Below are 16,984 nucleotides of genomic sequence, written 5' to 3' on the forward strand. Positions count from 1 at the left end.
AGCAAAAGGTGACAGTAGAAAGGGCTTATTACCTCCCCTGGTAACTAAGCATCACACAGAAAGAAAACTGCCCTCACCCTAATCTTACATTTTCAGGGGCAGTGTTTAAATTTTTATTTTTAATTGAAGAGAATGCTTGAGTTTCTCCTAAAGGGAAAGTTACAAAGACTTATGAGTTTTGATGTACGTAAATGTACTGGAGTTTCAGAAGAAATTCATGATCCCAGTAGAATTCTGAGAGTTGCCAGTAATCATTTTGTCTTGAAGAATGACCATGACTGAGCAAATCAACACGGGCAAAACTAATGGGAAAACGAACTCTTTCCAAAAGGATTAACAAACCCCTGATTCCCATGGAAGGAAGAACCTTGAAGGGGAGCCATCAAATGAAGGCATCAAATCTTGGATCTCCAGCCAAAGACTTAATGTCAGAGGCATTTGAACCAGAGCGACTCCCTTTTGAGTGGGGCTGGAAAATGAGGCTGGGACTTGCTTCCTGGGCTGCATTATCAGAAAGTATGGCCTTCCTAGCCTCTACAGATGTTTATGGCCAAGGGAACAAATTAATAATGTTTACTAAACAGACCCAGACTTGGGAGTGTCCAGATATCCCAATATCTGGAGAATAAAGGCATTCCTAATTTTGCTTTAAATATAATAATATCGATCCTTACAAAATATATTAATTAAGAAAATCAATCCTTTATCACAAACCCTTGAGCAGAACACATCTCCCCATATATACCAGCATTGTACCTAGGGTGGATGCGCTCCTCCTCTTACTTTCAGGAACGTCCTACTCTGTCTATGGAGTAGCTGTCCCTTCACCTCTTTGCTTTCTTAATAAACTTGCTTTTGCTTTGTACTATGGGCTCACCCTGAATTCTTCCTTGAATGATATCCAAGAACGCTCTCTTGGCGTCTGGATCAGGACCCCTTTCCTGTAACAATAAGATCTGAGAGGCTGATAAGTTGCATGTTGAGAAATTCAGACCCCATGTCCTCTCTCGGGTTTCACACTGCAGCATCAGAGAGCTTGAATCTGCCCAATTGCAGCCACGACACTAGGAGTTATGGAAATGTATTTTCCATGGCTTCTCTTTCTTTTTCTGCTTCTTCCTTCCTCCCACTCTCCCACCCTCCTTCTCCTCTCTCTTAAATGTGCACAATAAAAATTATTAAGTCCAAAATATTTTCTTCTAAACTTAAAAAAAAAACCTCTAAGAAAATGTAATGCCTTCTCTGTTTATTACAAAAATTTGCAGTTTTGTGAAAACAGATTATATGGGTAGAGTTTTTACTTTATAAATATCAATTAGTAGCCTAGTGGGTAGCATTTTCCTTTCTTTAGGGTTTCAATAAAAGCAAAGATGACTTTGTCTTAGAAACATTATATGTGGGAGAAGGCTGCTTAAGTTATTGGGTTAGGGAGAATCTTTGGCAATGCGTGTTCTAGATCAAGTTTGCCCAAGATATTTTAGCAGCCTTGGAAAAATGACACCCATTCCCAAGCCCATCCCCCTTGCCTACCAAGAACCTCAGCTCCCTCATTGCCCATTGATGATATTGAGCCATGGGTTTCCAACTGCTCCCTAGGGATTTGCGGATCTCCCTTCAGAGGCCGTGATGGAGAAGTGGACAAGGGAGAGTACAAATGCCGTGTTTCATTCTGAGTGATTTATTTCTGGTATTTCTGTTAACATTTTTATTTGAACAAAAGGTTTCTCCATCACAAAGAAGTTTGAAAACTACTAGCTTAACTGATCATGAAATCAGTATCCTCCACCTCTAAAACTCTGAGATCAATGTGTCATTAAAAAAAGGCTATGGCCAAAAACCAAGACATCCAGGTTTAAATCCTCACCCATTATTTTCTAGTTGTGTGACTTCAGGACAGTTGTCAACCTATAAAATGGATAACAACGTTATGTAAACCACATAAGGATGGAGGCTGAAAAAATTCTTGACATTCCATCCCAACTTTATTCCTTGATGATTCTATGGTACTTGGTGCTTTTTATTACAGACAATGTTTCTGGTCTCTCTTTAGGCTCCTGCCATTGGCATGCAGACAAGTATAAAGATTGTTCCCAGCAACGAGGATGTCCCACACAGGTGCCCCACAGACAAATGTATCTGCAATGCTGCAGTCTTTGGTTTAACAGAGTATTTAAAATACTGGTTTATCGGTAAAGAGAAAGTCAAACTGTCACTGTTTGCTAACGATATGATTGTTTACATTGAAAACCCTAAGGACTCTTCTAGAAAGTTCCTAGAACTGATGAAAGAATTCAGCAAAGTTTCTGGATACAAGATTAATGTACACAAATTAGTAACTCTTCTATACACCAACTGTGACCAAGCAGAGAATCAAATCAAGAACTCAACCCTTTTTACAATTGCTGCAAAAATAAATAAATAAATCACTTAGGAATATACCTAACAAAGGAGTCAAAATACCTCTACAAGGAAAGCTACAAAACACTGCTGAAAGAAATCATAAATGACACAAACAAATGGAAACACATCCCATGCTCATGGATAAGTAGAATCAATATTGTGAAAATGACCATACTGCCAAAAGCAATCTACAAATTCAATACAAAGCCCATTAGAATACCATGATCATTCTTCACAGAATTAGGAAAACCAATTCTAAAATTCATATGGAACCAAAAAAGAGCCTGTATAGCCAAAGCAACACTAAGCAAAAAGAACAAACCTGGAGGCATCATCACACTGCCTGATTTCAAACTATACTGTAAGGCCATAGTCACCAAAACAGCATGGTACTGCTTTAAAAATAGGAACATAGACCATTGGAACAGAATAGAGAACCCAGCAATAAACCCAAATACAGCCAACTGATCTTCAACAAAGCAAACAAAAACACAAAGTGGGGAAATGACACCCTTTTCAACAAATGGTGCTGGGGTAATTTGCTAGCCACATGTAGGAGAATGCAACTGGATCCTCATCTGTCATACAAAAATCAACTCAAGATGGACTAAGGACTTAAACCTAAGACCTGAAACTATAAAAATTCTAGAAGATAACCCTGGAAAAACCCTTCTAGACATTGGCTTAGGCAAGGATTTCATGACCAAGAACCCAAAAGCAAATGCAATAAAAACAAAGATAAATAGCTGGGACCTAATTAAACTAAAGAGCTTTTGCACAGCAAAACGAACAGTCAGCAGAGTAAACAGACAACCCACGGAGTGGGAGAAAATCTTCACAATCTATACATCTGACAAAGGACTTATATCCAGAATCTACAACAAACTCAAACAGCTTAAGAACAAAACAAACAATTCCATCAAAAAGTGGACTAAGGACATGAATAGACAATTCTCAAAGGAAGATATACGAATGGCCAAAAACATGAAAAAATGCTCAACATCACTAATGATCAGGGAAATGCAAATGAAAACCACAATGAGATACCACCTTACTCCTGCAAGGATGGCCATAATCAAAAAATCAAAAAACAGTAGATGTTGATGTGGTTGCAGTGAACAGAGAAGACTTCTACATTGCTGGTGGGAATGTAAACTAGTACAGCCACTATGGAAAACATTGTGGAGATTCCTTAAAGAACTAAAAGTAGAACTACCATTTGATCCAGGAACCCCACTACTGGGTATCTACCCAGAGGAAAAGAAGTCATTATTCGAAAAAGATACTTGCACATGCATGTTTATAGCAGCACAATTCACAATTGCAACATCGTGTCAACATCCCAAATGCCCATCTGCAATTCACAACTGCAAGATCGTGGAACCAACCCAAATGCCCATCCATCAATCAGTGGATAAAGAAACTGTGAGATATATATATATATATATATATATATATATATATATATATATATATATATATTTTACAGGCATACTACATAGCCATAAAAAGGAATGAATTCACAGCATTTGCAGTGACCTGGATAAGACTGGAGACTAATGTTGTAAGTGATGCAACTCAGGAATGGAAAACCAAACATCGTATGTTCTCACTGATATGTGGGAGTTAAGCTATGCAGATGAAAAGGCATAAGAATGAGACAATAGACTTTGGGGACTTGGGGGGAAGAGTGAGGGGGTGAGGGATAAAAGACTACCAATATGGTGCAGTGTATACCGCTCGAGTGATGGGTGCACCAAAATCTCACAAATCACCACTAAAGAACTTACTCGTGTAACCAAATATCACCTGTACCCCAACAACTTATGGAAAAATAAAAATAAATACAACACTGATTGCTCCTCAAAAATTAAAACTAGAATTGCCATACGATCCAACAATTTCTGGGTTTATACTCAAAAGAATTGAAAATAGAGTCTCAAAAAGATATTTATGAACCCATGTCCATAGCACCATTATTCACAATAGCCAAAAGGTAGAAGCAACCCAGTGCCCATTGATAGATGAGTGGATAAACAAAATGTGGCCTATCTATACAATGGAATATTATTCAGCCTGAGAAAGGAAGGAAATTCTGATACACGCTATTAATACAACATGGATAAACTCTGAAGACAGGATGCTGAGTGAGATAAGCCCATTACAAAAAGATGTACTGTGTGGTTCCAATCACATGAGGTCCCCAAATTCACAGAGACAGAAAGTAGAATGGTGGCTGCCAGGGGCTGATGGGAGAGGAAATGGGAATTAATTGTTTAATAGGCATAGAGTTTCTGTTTAACAAGACGAAAATAGTAATGAAGATGGATGGTTGCATAACATTGTGAATGTATTTAATACCACTGAATTGTACAGCTAAAAATGATTGCAATGGTAAACTGTATGTTCCAAATATGTTACTACAATTTTTGAAAATGCTCTTTTCAGATATTCGTATTTGTAAGATACATTACCATTTCTGTTATACATAATTACATCTTAATTATCAAGCATGACCAAACATTTTGCCAATGTTCCTCAATTCACTGAGAGTATCATCTCTTGTACCCTTTGGGTAGTCTGTTTAGAACCAAGGTAACAGATATGTTGGCCGTGTTAGTCAGCTCCGGCTGCTGTAACAGAGTACCATAGACTGGGTGGCTTAAACAACAGACATTTATTTCTCACAGTTGGGAAGCTGGAAGTCCAAGGTCAAGCTGTTAGCTGGCTCAGTTCCTGATGAGGGCTCTCTTCCTGGTTTGCAGATGGCCACCTTCTTGCTGTGTCCTCACTCAGTTGAGAGAGAGAGCTCTGGTGTCCCCTCCCTGCCTTCTTCTCCTCTTCCTTCTCCTCTTCCTGCTTCTTCTTTTCCTCTTCCTTGTTCTTTATTTTCTAAGGACATTTATCCCATCTTGGGAGCCCCATCCTCATGACCTCATTTAAACTTAATCACCTCCCAAAGGCCCTATCTCTAAATACATCACATTGCACGTTAGGGAGTCCACATAAGAATTTTGGGGGAACTCAAACATTCAGTCCATAATATTGGCTAAATTTGCGATGTAGGTTACAGGGGCAGTAAAAGTCTGCAAATCTTGAAAAGAAAATATGTTGAAGCACCCCAATATCTAAAGCCAAGATTGTTCTTTACTTCCAAAGTCAACCTCACCATAGTTCCAGGGACCCACATTACATTAGTAAACATGACTAGTGGTCTCAACAAAAATCTACCTGGATTATTAAAAGAAATCAATCAGATAATCCTTGGTTATTATCCAAATTTCCACAAAGAATCCTTTATTTCTTAGGTTGAAGTTTTGGGCCCCAAGAAATTAGAGCTATAGAAATGAGGGGAGTGATGCTTTAAATGCTCATTAGTAATTGACATTTCTTCATAACCAGGCCCCATCAACCAACAAGTGGGCAAAGAAAATGTGGAACATATACACCATGGAATACTACTCATTCATATAAAGCAATGAAATCATGTCTCTTGTAGCAACTTGGTTGGAGCTGGAGGCGATTATTCTAAGTAAAGTAACTCAGGAATGGAAAACCAAATGTCATATCGTCTCAGTTACAAGTAGGAGCTAAGTTATGAGGACATGTATTAGTCTGTTCTCATGCTGCCAGTAAAGACATACCTGAGACTGGGTAATTCATACAGGAAAGAGGCTTCATTGACTCACACTTTCACATGGCTGGGGAGGTCTCACAATCATGGTGGAAGGCAAAGGAGGAGCAAAGTCATATCTTACATGGTGGCAGGCAAGAGAGAGCTTGTGCAGAGGAACTGCCCTTTATAAAACCACATCTCATGAGACTTATTCATTATCAGGAGAACAGCATGGGAAAGACCTGCCCCCATGATTCAATGACCTTCCACTGGGTCCCTCCCATGACATGTGGGAATTATGGGAGCTACAATTCAAGATGAGATTTGGGTGGGGTCACAGCCAAACCATATCAGGACACCAAGGCACAAGAATAACATAAGGGACTCTGTGACTCAGTTGGGGAAGAGATGGATGGAGGTGAGGGATAAAAGTGTACACTGCTCAGGTGATAGGTGTACCAAAATCTAAGAAGCCACTATGAAAGAACTTATCCATGTAATCAAAACCCACCTGTACCCCCCCAAAAACTATTGAAATAAAGCTTTTTTTTCTAATGAGAAAAAAAAAATCAGGCCCTCTCTCCTTGCTTCTTCTGGGAGGTGTTGACAGGGTTCAACAGGAGGAAAAAGTGAAGAGAACACTGGTGCCTGAGAGGCAAGGAGGGAGGAGAGCAGCCCTATGGGCAGGGAGGGAGCTGGGAAAGAGAAGTGTGCTGGAAGGCCACACATTCATGGCTAAATTCACACTTTATGCCAGGGTTGGCCCAAAAGTAACTCACTGTAGATGTACCTTCCAACAATAAAATGATCTCTGAATCAAGACCCTTGAAGTTTGTTTCACTAAGCATTGAAGAGTTTCTTTCCATCTTGAAGCTTAAAATGAGTCCTGAAGAGTAATCTAGATGCATTCAGAATTTCAACTCCTTTTCCATGACATTCGGTTACTGTTTGGTGCCTTTAAACACACACACACGCATACACATGCTTGCACACGCCAGTGCATACACATGCACTGGCTCACACACAGATCCACAGCCAAGTCTGTTGTTAGAGGGTTGCTTGCTGAGCTCTCTGGATTTTCACAGCATCACAGCACATTATTCACGAACATAATGAAACAAAGATTAAGTGGGAATTTTAAGCTTTGTAGGGTGAATGTGTTTCCATGAGGACAGGCAAATCTGGTAACAGAAAGTGACCAGAGCATGGGAAAAACTTGACTTATGGAATCCAAGCAAATCCTCCTTTTATCCTCACCCTAAGATTCTGGAAGTCAAGGCCTCATCAGAAAGCTAAATTTTAGTAAAGTCACACTATCAGCAGTAACAGTTTTCAATTACAAGCAGCTATTTCCAGAGTTCTAATGTTCTGCATTTGCCTTTTAGGGAGATTCTCTGGACCTTTAGACCAGTAAAAAACTAATCAACCTCCATCATTTCATGTTGGGGCCAGGACAATGGCTCTCATGATGCCCAGGCTTAGAGACTTTGAGATGGTGTTTCCTTGATTGCTTATGGGAACCGTCCTGCAGAAGTATAATTTCATTTATTAGAAGCAGAGAGCTTATAAAGTCCTGTGAAACAACAGGTGCCAGAAGGAAAGCCAGACACTCTAATGAGCACTTGGAACTGGCTCTGCAGAAAGCAGAGATGCAATTGATGCCGTATGCATTTATCTTTAGACACACATCAATCAAAGCCTTCCAACCAGATTATCTCAGCATGCTACTGCAAACAGTTTTCATCTACAGTTATTGACGGTTTTGTTCCTAACCAAGAAAAAAAATGGAATGGAGAAAAATCATGGATAGTGCAAAGTCTTAGAACAGGTGCGTATATATGAAGTAGTTTAAAGGAAAAATAAATAATCAGAATATACCTGGTGACACTTCATTTGGTTTCTTGGAAAATAAAATGTTATACATAATGAAATTTTCCATATAAGAGAAGGTCATTGATTCAAACTTACAACCTTAAAAATTGTATAGAAGTTGTGTGCTTGAGGAAAACTACAAAGTCATCTATGCTAAGGGAGATAACCTCCAAAAAATTAGAAGTACATTTGAAATCATATTCAGTATGTCTTACACCCTATAATGATAAGGGTGTTTAATATTAAAACAGGCAATACCTACTTAGTAAACCGTTAACAAACTTAATTAAATAATTCATGTAATGTACCAATAGATTGAAAATTTTATTGGATACTACTTAATTACCATATTATTGCATTTCATTCATACCCATGGACATGGTATTTCTATTTCTACACAAGTAGAAGTAGTATTTTTTAATTCCCATGAATAAAAATTATTACCATAGGAAGGCAAATAATAAGCATAAGAAAATATATATATGTTTTTATAGAAGGATAAACACAATGAACTTAATATGAAACACAATGAACTCTTGAAAAGAAAGCATCTTCCAGTCCAGGAAACATGGCAAAACCCCATCTCTACAAAAACAAAACTACCAAAATTAGCCGGGCGTGGTGGCAGAACACTGTGGTTCCAGCTACTCAGGAGGCTGAGGTGTGAGGAGCACCTGAGCCCAGGAGGTCAAGGCTGTGGTGAGCCGAGATCGTACCACTGCACTACAGCCATGGCAACAGAGTGAGACCCTGTCTCAAAAAAAAAAAAAAAAAAAAAAAAAAGGAAAAGAAAGAAGAAAGCATCTTAAAAAACAACTTTCTTAATTATATATATATATACATTACATAATATGTCATTATTACAAAAGTTTATTTGTATTTCCCAGTTTGTGTCTGCACAGTTTGTGTTTCCTGTTTCTAGAGGAGAGAGAATGCTCTATTCCTTTCTAGGTTCCACTGGTAATCTCTTATGGGTAGAAGACCTAGTTTGTTAAGAATTTGTTGTAAATTACAGTTGACAGCCCTGTGTGAGAAACCAATGGACAAAGTGTAATGACTTCACTGTAGGAGCTTTATTTCTTGAATTTAGGTCTGGGACCATGTTTTAGAGCGTTAAAATTTGGGGAAATTTGACTTCTAGTTAACTAGACTGTTACTTAATGCGTTTTTCTTTTAATTGGAAATAACTTTGTGCCACTGAAGTATGCCTATGAGATCACAAACATCTTTTTTCTCTTGTGACCCTTGACTGGAATCAGACCACCTGCTGAGATTCAACAATTGCTAAGAACAGCGGGGAAAGGAAAATAGATCTGCATCCCATCAACTTCACAGTTAAGGCCAAGCATTCTGGGATTTTTCTGGCGTGGTTTGCTGAACCCTGACCAGAATAAAGTCCAGTGGGATTGTGCCAGACATAATCAGGACCAACAGTCACTTCGACCTCTGTAAGCACCAGTGTTTGGAGGCAGCTGAGGCCTGGGGGCGTGGACGTGACTATTATGATGCTGTCCAAGTGCTTTTGGTTTTAGGAATGCTGGGATAGTGGATGTGTGGCTCTGGGATCATTTTACCCAAACAGAGATGTCATCACTGTGTCTTCTAAACAATCCTATCCCTGGAGCCTTTGGGATCTGTGCCAAAGCAGTTCTAACAATCATAACCGCCAACACCAGCCAAAGAGCAGCCAAGCTAGACCTCAGTCCAGAGGAATAATTTACTGTAAGTATACATCGGGAACCTCCCAACAACAGCCATGGTGAAGGCAGAGGTTGGAATGATGCTTCCACAAGCCAAAGTATACCAAAGATTGACAGGACATATTCTCCCCCACAGCCTCCAAAAGAGCCAACCCTGCCAACACTAGATCTAGGACTTCTGGTCTTCAGAACTGTGAGTTGAGAGGTTTTCATTCATAAGCCACCTCATCTGTGGTATTTTGCTCCAGTAGTCCAAGCAAACTAACACAGCAACTGATTGTTTTTTTTTTTTTTTAAAGGAGTCAGAATTATATCCCAGGTTATACACTAGAATTACTGGGGGAAATGTGAAGCTTCTTGAAAAAATGGGAACGCCAAAAGACTGAGCCAGTTTGGAGAGAGATGATGAAGTCAGTCTTGATATGTTGAGTTCAGCAGTGAAAATAAATCCATGGAATTTCCAGTAAAAACCTGGAGATATAAAGCTTCAGTTCTAAAAAAGATTTTTTTTTCCTGGAAACTCAGATAGCAAAGATGTATAGTCTTTGTTTGTAGTTGAAACCAAGGCAGTAGGTAAAATCTCCAAGGAAGAGTAGAGCAAGAAAATGAAAGGGCCACACACTGCCCTTCTTGGTATCTGATCTATGAACAGACTTGGGACAAAGACCGTGCCTTCTCAGTGCTGTTTCCTGCTCCCTGTCCTCAAAGCAGCTGCTGAGCCACCCCTTCCATGGCATCATGAGTATCCATGCAGGGACAGGAAGCAGACAGGCCACTGGGGGTGAATCTGGCCTTGGAGTTCACACCTGAGCTCCTTCTCCTCTAGCAAGTGATGAAAATGTCCAGGACTGAGTCAGGCATGGACACAAGAGAACACCCCTGAGAATTCTCAGATCTGGGGAGGGGAACATGAAGCTCTGCTGAATTTCCTACCAGTGCAGCCATGGAAACTCAGAGCAGCAGGATTTTAATCTTAACATAGGTGGAATCTCATTTGTACTCAAAGGAGGAGCTAGCCTGGGGCATTGCAGTCACCATGCCCAGTATTAACATAAATATGGGATGAGAACACAAAGCAATGAAGAAAGTCACATAATGAAACAATTTCTAATCAACTCAAGCACTGTGAAAATACCCCAGACCCACAAGCCAGAAGGCCTGGATTCTGGCAAGATGAGACCTCCTCAGCAGTGTGGCACTGATAAATCATCTCAAAGCAGCACACTAACTCCACCAACAATGGAAGGGCTAACCGAGACCAGGAGTGCCAAGCCTAAAGCCTGCAGCAGAACCAGCCCATAGACCCAAGCTCTGCAGCTGGCATGGTGGTCAATATGCTTTTTAATTTGAAGGCCCTTCGGCAGGCTTCTGACAGGTCACTGCGGCCCCTACAACTACTGCATCCGCATCCTGCATGGCTGATTGATGGTCTCTACTGACAGGCAGAATTCTAAAAGTGAACCTCCTCTTGCCCTGGTTATTTAATCAACGGCTACTCTACTACCGCTGTGAAAGGGTTTTGCAGATGAAATTAAAGTCCCAAGTCAATTGACTTGAAGATGATCAGATGGACCCGATATGATCACATGAACCTTTTATGGTGAAAAGGACTCCAAGCATCACTGTTAGTTAAAAGATGGAGGAGCTCCGTGGGAAGGGATGTGGGCAGTGGATGGGAACACACAGCAGCCCCAGGCTGACAGCCAGCCTGGAGACAGGGACCTCAGTCCCACAGCCACAGGTAACTGAATCCTGCTGCAACCACATAAGCTTGGAAGAAGAGCCCACGCCTCCAGAGGAGAACCCTGCCTGGTTGCCATCTTGATCCAACTGGAGCCCTGAAGCAGGAGCCCCGCTGAGCCCCGCTGAAGGCCACCCTGGAGAACTGCATGCTCATACACCATGTTGCTGGACGCGGCTACAGTGATGATCGTCTATGGTGCAGAACAGAAAACTAACCCCTCCCTTCAGGGTTTCTCATCTGAAACACTTGGATCTTTGAATCTTGAGATTGTAAGAAAATGACACCAAACAAACCTACAAAGCCCAGATCTTCTTTCTCCCAGGTGCCAAGGATTATTCATTTTCCCCTTGTTTGCTCACACATTCATTCACTCAACAAATATTTTTTGAAAACAGGCTATGTGCAGATCCCTGTTATGTGAGGACTGCAAGGATGGGCATAGCAAGGTCAAGGTCACGTGGCACCATCAGTTCTATCACACAGGCTGCGGTGAGTTTAAGGTCTCTATCTTTTGCCCGTCTATCAGAGCCCTAAATTCTCATATTTACTGTTGTTCTCATAAAATCCAAGTACTGCGAGGCTAAAAGAAGCCACCATAAAGTTTTAAATGATTACACACATCATGTTTTGATTAAAATCAGTGTTTTTTTGTGGGAACAAGAGTATATGTTTCTGAAATAATAAATTCCCCAAATGTATATCATTCCCAGGATCCTAACTCAAGGTACATTCTGTAGCCTCTTCTTATCTATGAGACACAGGAATAACCAACAGTGTCTGATATTTACTTTAAAGTGACCCAGATATGAAGCATGTTTTTAAATTCATCTTTACTATTCAGCTGTAGACATGTCTACACTGATTTCACATCTACATTTCTTAAAGGAGCCAGGGAGCAGGGAAGCAATTTCATATTAACAGCACTTGGAGTGGTGTCATCCCCATCAAAGCTCTTATTCTATTAAATTACACCAAAAAGATTAAAAAAATTTATTCTGTTTCGCTGACACCCATATCAGATGTGATCAGCTTTCAAGTCAAAACATTATGTTTCTAATTATACTACAAATGTCCTGAGCTGGGAGAATCAACATGTTTCCTTTTCACTCTGCACCTCCTTCTCCTAAAACAAAGTGGCCTCAGCCAGGATTCAGCTGGCAGATGGGAGAATGATTCATAAGGTAGAGTGGGATTCAACTTGGCTTTTCCACGGACTGTCTGCAGAGAGCCAAAAGGAGCCAAAATGGGTTTGTTTCCACAATACAAGCAGTTTTCACAAAATGGCACACGGGGAACAGATACAAGGAGGAAGATGGCCTGATATTTTCTCTGCAACATGGCCTGTTTCTTCAATAGATAGATGCTATCTATAGTCAATAACCATTCCACACAAGATCAAGAAAGTTCCACACTCGGGCCTAGAAAAGCTGCCAGAGTCATCACTCACTGGTGCTTAAGAGCCCAGAATTCAGAGCAAGGCCCTTCAGAGCCCGGCTGAGAGAATCCTGTGATTGAACTCATCTTCAGTCACAGAATCTGTTTTTAGAAAGAAGTATTCAGTTTTGCTTATGGTTTTTATAAAAATTCCTCCAATACCATGCTTGCATTACACAAAAACGACCAGTTGAGTTCCTCCTACAGGACAGAGTGCACAGAATCGCAGGAACCTGTGGGCCTCTTGCAGACAGGCTGGTGATGGGGACTCCCTGCTGCCTGGAGTTGAACATGACCATCTGCCCTAGATATGGGGGTAACTGCCTCATTTTTAGAGGCTTCCCCTAAGGTCTATGCCAGGCCCTAATCATATTCACAGCATAAAAAACAATGTTTCTTTGTGATTAACAGCCATTTCTCTTAAGGAGGTTTATTTCTTTAATTGCCACAGGTAACAGCTGGTCTTTTCATACCACACCTTGCAATTAAAAACTTCCTCTTCGGGGCCAAGTGTGGTGGCTCATACCTGTAATCCCGGCACTTTGGGAAGCCAGGGTTGGGGGATCTCATGAGGCCAGGAGTTTAAGACCAGCCTGGGTCATACAGTGAGACCCCATCTCAACAAAAAAAAAAAATTGTTTTAAAACTTATCAAGGTGTAGCAGTGCACCTCTAGTCCCAGCAACTCAGGAGGCTGGAGGGGATCACTTGAGCCCAGACCCCATCTCTAAATAATAAATAAAAACTCTTCTTTGAACTTTCATGTTTTCAGGTTAAGTAGTCCTAGTGAAATAAAATCCTTTTCAAGATAGCATTGTCTTCCTATCTAGCTCACAAGTTTCAAGACGGTTGGGATGGTGTGGGTCTTAGTCATTGCGATAATCCTAGGTTCGGCACAGGGTCTGCCATGCAACAAAGGTTTACTGAATTTAATATTTTGAATTCTCCAATTATTGGCATTGTTCGTTTCTGGACATGTTCTTTTTACCCATTGCATCATCAAGACTACCTATCAGTACAGCTGTGATGGCAGTTACAATATTAAAACACTTCCCAACCCCATGGTCCCTCTCCCAGATATCCTGGTCACCTGATAGGATGATTCCACCTATCATCCTCTGGACCTTCTAGAACTTTCCACCATCCAGCAACTAAAGGGTTAACACCCACTGCAGCTGGGAGCTTCCAGGACCCTGCTGATTGGCCAATGCCTGGTGCCCTGCCTTGAAACAGCTTTGAAGTATTTTAAATATAATCCTGACTCCAGTGTTATTAATACATGAACAAGAATAACACTTTAAGGGAGATCAATTTAAATAATAAACCACAAGTGTTACCAAATGCTTCTCCCTTTCATCTGTAATATCTGAATCAACAGTTGCCGAGCTGTGGCCAGAGGTGGCACTTCAGGACAAAGGCATAAGATACTACATCAGAGAACAGGCAGAGGAAGCAGCCACAGTCCTGGGATGGGGAAGTGCTAAAGGGACCATCAAGGCTAAGAGCTAGCCTGTTCTGCTAAGGAGACTGCAAGAATAGTATCACACTCTTAAAATCTCCCTAAAATACCAAGTTTATAGAAATGAAATCAGACAGCCCCTTCAAAACTTTGAGTAGATACTCACTTGCTGAATAATTTAGGAAGCTTTTTAGAGCTGATTTTGTTTGGGCGTCTTTATTGTTGTATTCTGTTTTATTGTATTTTTAATTTATGTTCTGGGATAGCAGGAAAGGCCCTGGAAAAGGAACTAGAGACAGAACAAGAAAATACCTTTCTATGGTTGCCTCCTTTCTTTCCTCTCCATAGAAAAGCATAGAAAAATAAGTGCTTTGCACATTATGGACACCTGGAGAGGCTTTTGCTTTGTGGTTTGCAAAGGAAATGTTCTGAGTTGTTGCTTGAGAGACAAAATTTCTAGCAGTAACCCTCAAAGCTATAGGTGTTAGGCAAGTCTTTTTTGGCAAGAGATAATAGTAGGAGACATGTATATTTTCCATTACCTGACTTAGAAAATTTAAATAAAGGATAAGAAACAACAAAAGCGATCTTTCCATTTTAGTACATACACTTTGCTGCTTGATAACCCATTTTATGTATATCATAATTAATTAGACTGATCTGCAGTTGAACATTTGGGTGGTTTCAAGTCTTTTGCTCTTTGGGTCAATGAATTGAACAATTGATTTTTTGCATATATATCTGCATATGTTTAATTGATGAGTCAAAGGTTATGTGTATGTTTTTAGTGAGAAAGGCAAGTTGTAGAATACGATCTGTCATAGAAGTCTGTATTGTATTTTCAATGGGTGTTTATATGTTCGTTAATGTATAAGTGTATAAAGAAATCATGTATTTCTGGAAGGTCATGTAAGAAATTGCTAAATTTCCTAGAGGTGATTACCTCTAGGAAACAGGGATGAGAGTGAAGGTAATATTTCACTTTTATATCTGTTAGACATTTTTATCAAGATTCCCATTACTTTTATAATAATTATTAATAAAACAACGCATGAGTTAGACCAAGAGAAAAGCCACAAATCAGCTGAGTTATGAGTCAATAAGGGCCTTTTGTATATAATTAGCACATTTCAAAGCAGTTTGTATTTCATGGAAAAAAATCCAGAAATCCAGATAAAAAGTCAGAGTCACCTTGAATTGGGATTGAAATAAGCATACGTAGCACTCCTCCCTTCAATTAAGTTTGAAAAGTTCAGGTTTACAGGGAAGTGGAGCCCAGGGAGCCCAGGGATTAAGCATTCAGGAGTCAGAATCTGATTTTCTAGGACTGAAACCTCCCATGCTATTAACAAGCTTCGAAACAAGCTGAGTAAGTTACTTTCTCTTTCTTGGTCTCAGTTTCCCCACTGAAACATGAGGAAAAAAAGAGTACTTTTTACCTCATTGAGTAATTGTGAGGGTTAAAGAGATAATTCATGCAGCACTCAGCACAGAGTCTGAAGAAAGTCCTCTATAAATGTTAATTATGTTTACTATCACTATTATTTTATAGAAAAAGCAGCACATCTGAAAACAATAATTTATCAACTCATGTTTACTGCACTAAGATAAACATAATATACAAATAAAATTTCCCCAATCCAAGAAAAAATGAATATTAACAGTTGTACAAATATTCAGGCTTCCCTAAGATGATGACTTCCATCAAAGCAGGTAGAGGTACATTGTTTTCAATTATTTATCACAGCAAGTTACCATCGCAGATCAATTTCAGCATGTCAAGAAGCTATATTTAGGTTCTGTGGGCCAGCATCTCCCAAATTCAGCATGATTTCACATTCAAAGAGGAAAAGATATCTGCGTAATATTTTGGCTACTCAAAGAAAACATCAGCATCTGCTTTGAGTGAGAAGGCCTTGTGCCTGCGACCCTCTGTCTCTTCTGTCTCTTGTTTCATCTGCCAGCATGCTGGATGCTCTTGTATCTGCCTCTGTACCTGGGACCAAGCCAGTCCCCAGAGAGGGCGGCAGCACTGACCCCATCTGGCACGACTCAGGACCAGCCCCCCTCAAGGGCTCATGAACGAGTAGGGTAGGGAATATGGGGCCAACAATTTCTTTCCTGCTTTGCCCCTTTTGTCTCCACTGGTTGCCTGGAGTCACTCCTTCGGGGGATTGCCTCTTTGGTTGTGGTACAGTGTCCTGCTCCTGCTATCTCCTTCCCAGGATGGGCATCTTACACCAACTTAGGGTTAACATCTTGTACCCAAAAATATCAAGAGTGTATTTCCAAAGAAACAACCCCCCCGCCCGCCACAAATTGCATGGCAAGTGCCATTCACGTTTCAGCAAGACTTGCCATCATAATTTTCTATTTCCCAGTGGATACCCCAATACTCTTGGGGAGTCAGAGATGGGAAACCCAAGGTGAGGGGCACCAACTGGTCAGGACTTGCACGGATGCATCATATACTGCCCTCTTGCATACAATTTCATCACATTTAACAATTAACGCATGCTTTTTCTCTGAATTACAGAAGCTGCATATTCTTGTTGCAAATTAAGCAATATAGGGGTATGTCAAGTAAAATGCCAAAGATGCTCCCTTTCCAAGTTAACCATTGTGAACATTTAGAGTGCTTCCTCCCCGTTGTTTTGACTTCATGGCCATTTGCTAAGCACCTGCCATGTGCTGGGCTCTGGGTTTCATGCTGGGAATGCAGCAGTACGCAAAGCAGTGAGGTCTCTGCTTTCATGCTGC

General features: G+C 40.4%; 1 long non-coding RNA gene across 5 annotated transcripts in view, besides 1 other annotated feature; it reads right to left on the reverse strand.

Annotated features, from left to right (window-relative positions):
• Nucleotides 1-16,984, reverse strand: part of LOC105376387 (uncharacterized) — a 294,200-nt gene that overhangs the window by 119,988 nt on the left and 157,228 nt on the right. The window lies entirely within an intron of this gene.
• Nucleotides 8,876-9,377: an enhancer, noted in NCBI's record as "NANOG hESC enhancer chr10:6995095-6995596 (GRCh37/hg19 assembly coordinates)". NCBI's record gives its function as "activates a minimal SCP1, AML or CMV promoter by ChIP-STARR-seq in primed H9 embryonic stem cells {active_cell/tissue: H9 hESC(primed)}" and the evidence as "EXISTENCE:reporter gene assay evidence [ECO:0000049][PMID:30033119]".

This window comes from Homo sapiens, chromosome 10 (assembly GCF_000001405.40).
Source record: "Homo sapiens chromosome 10, GRCh38.p14 Primary Assembly".
In the NCBI taxonomy this organism is placed as follows: Eukaryota; Metazoa; Chordata; class Mammalia; order Primates; family Hominidae; genus Homo; species Homo sapiens.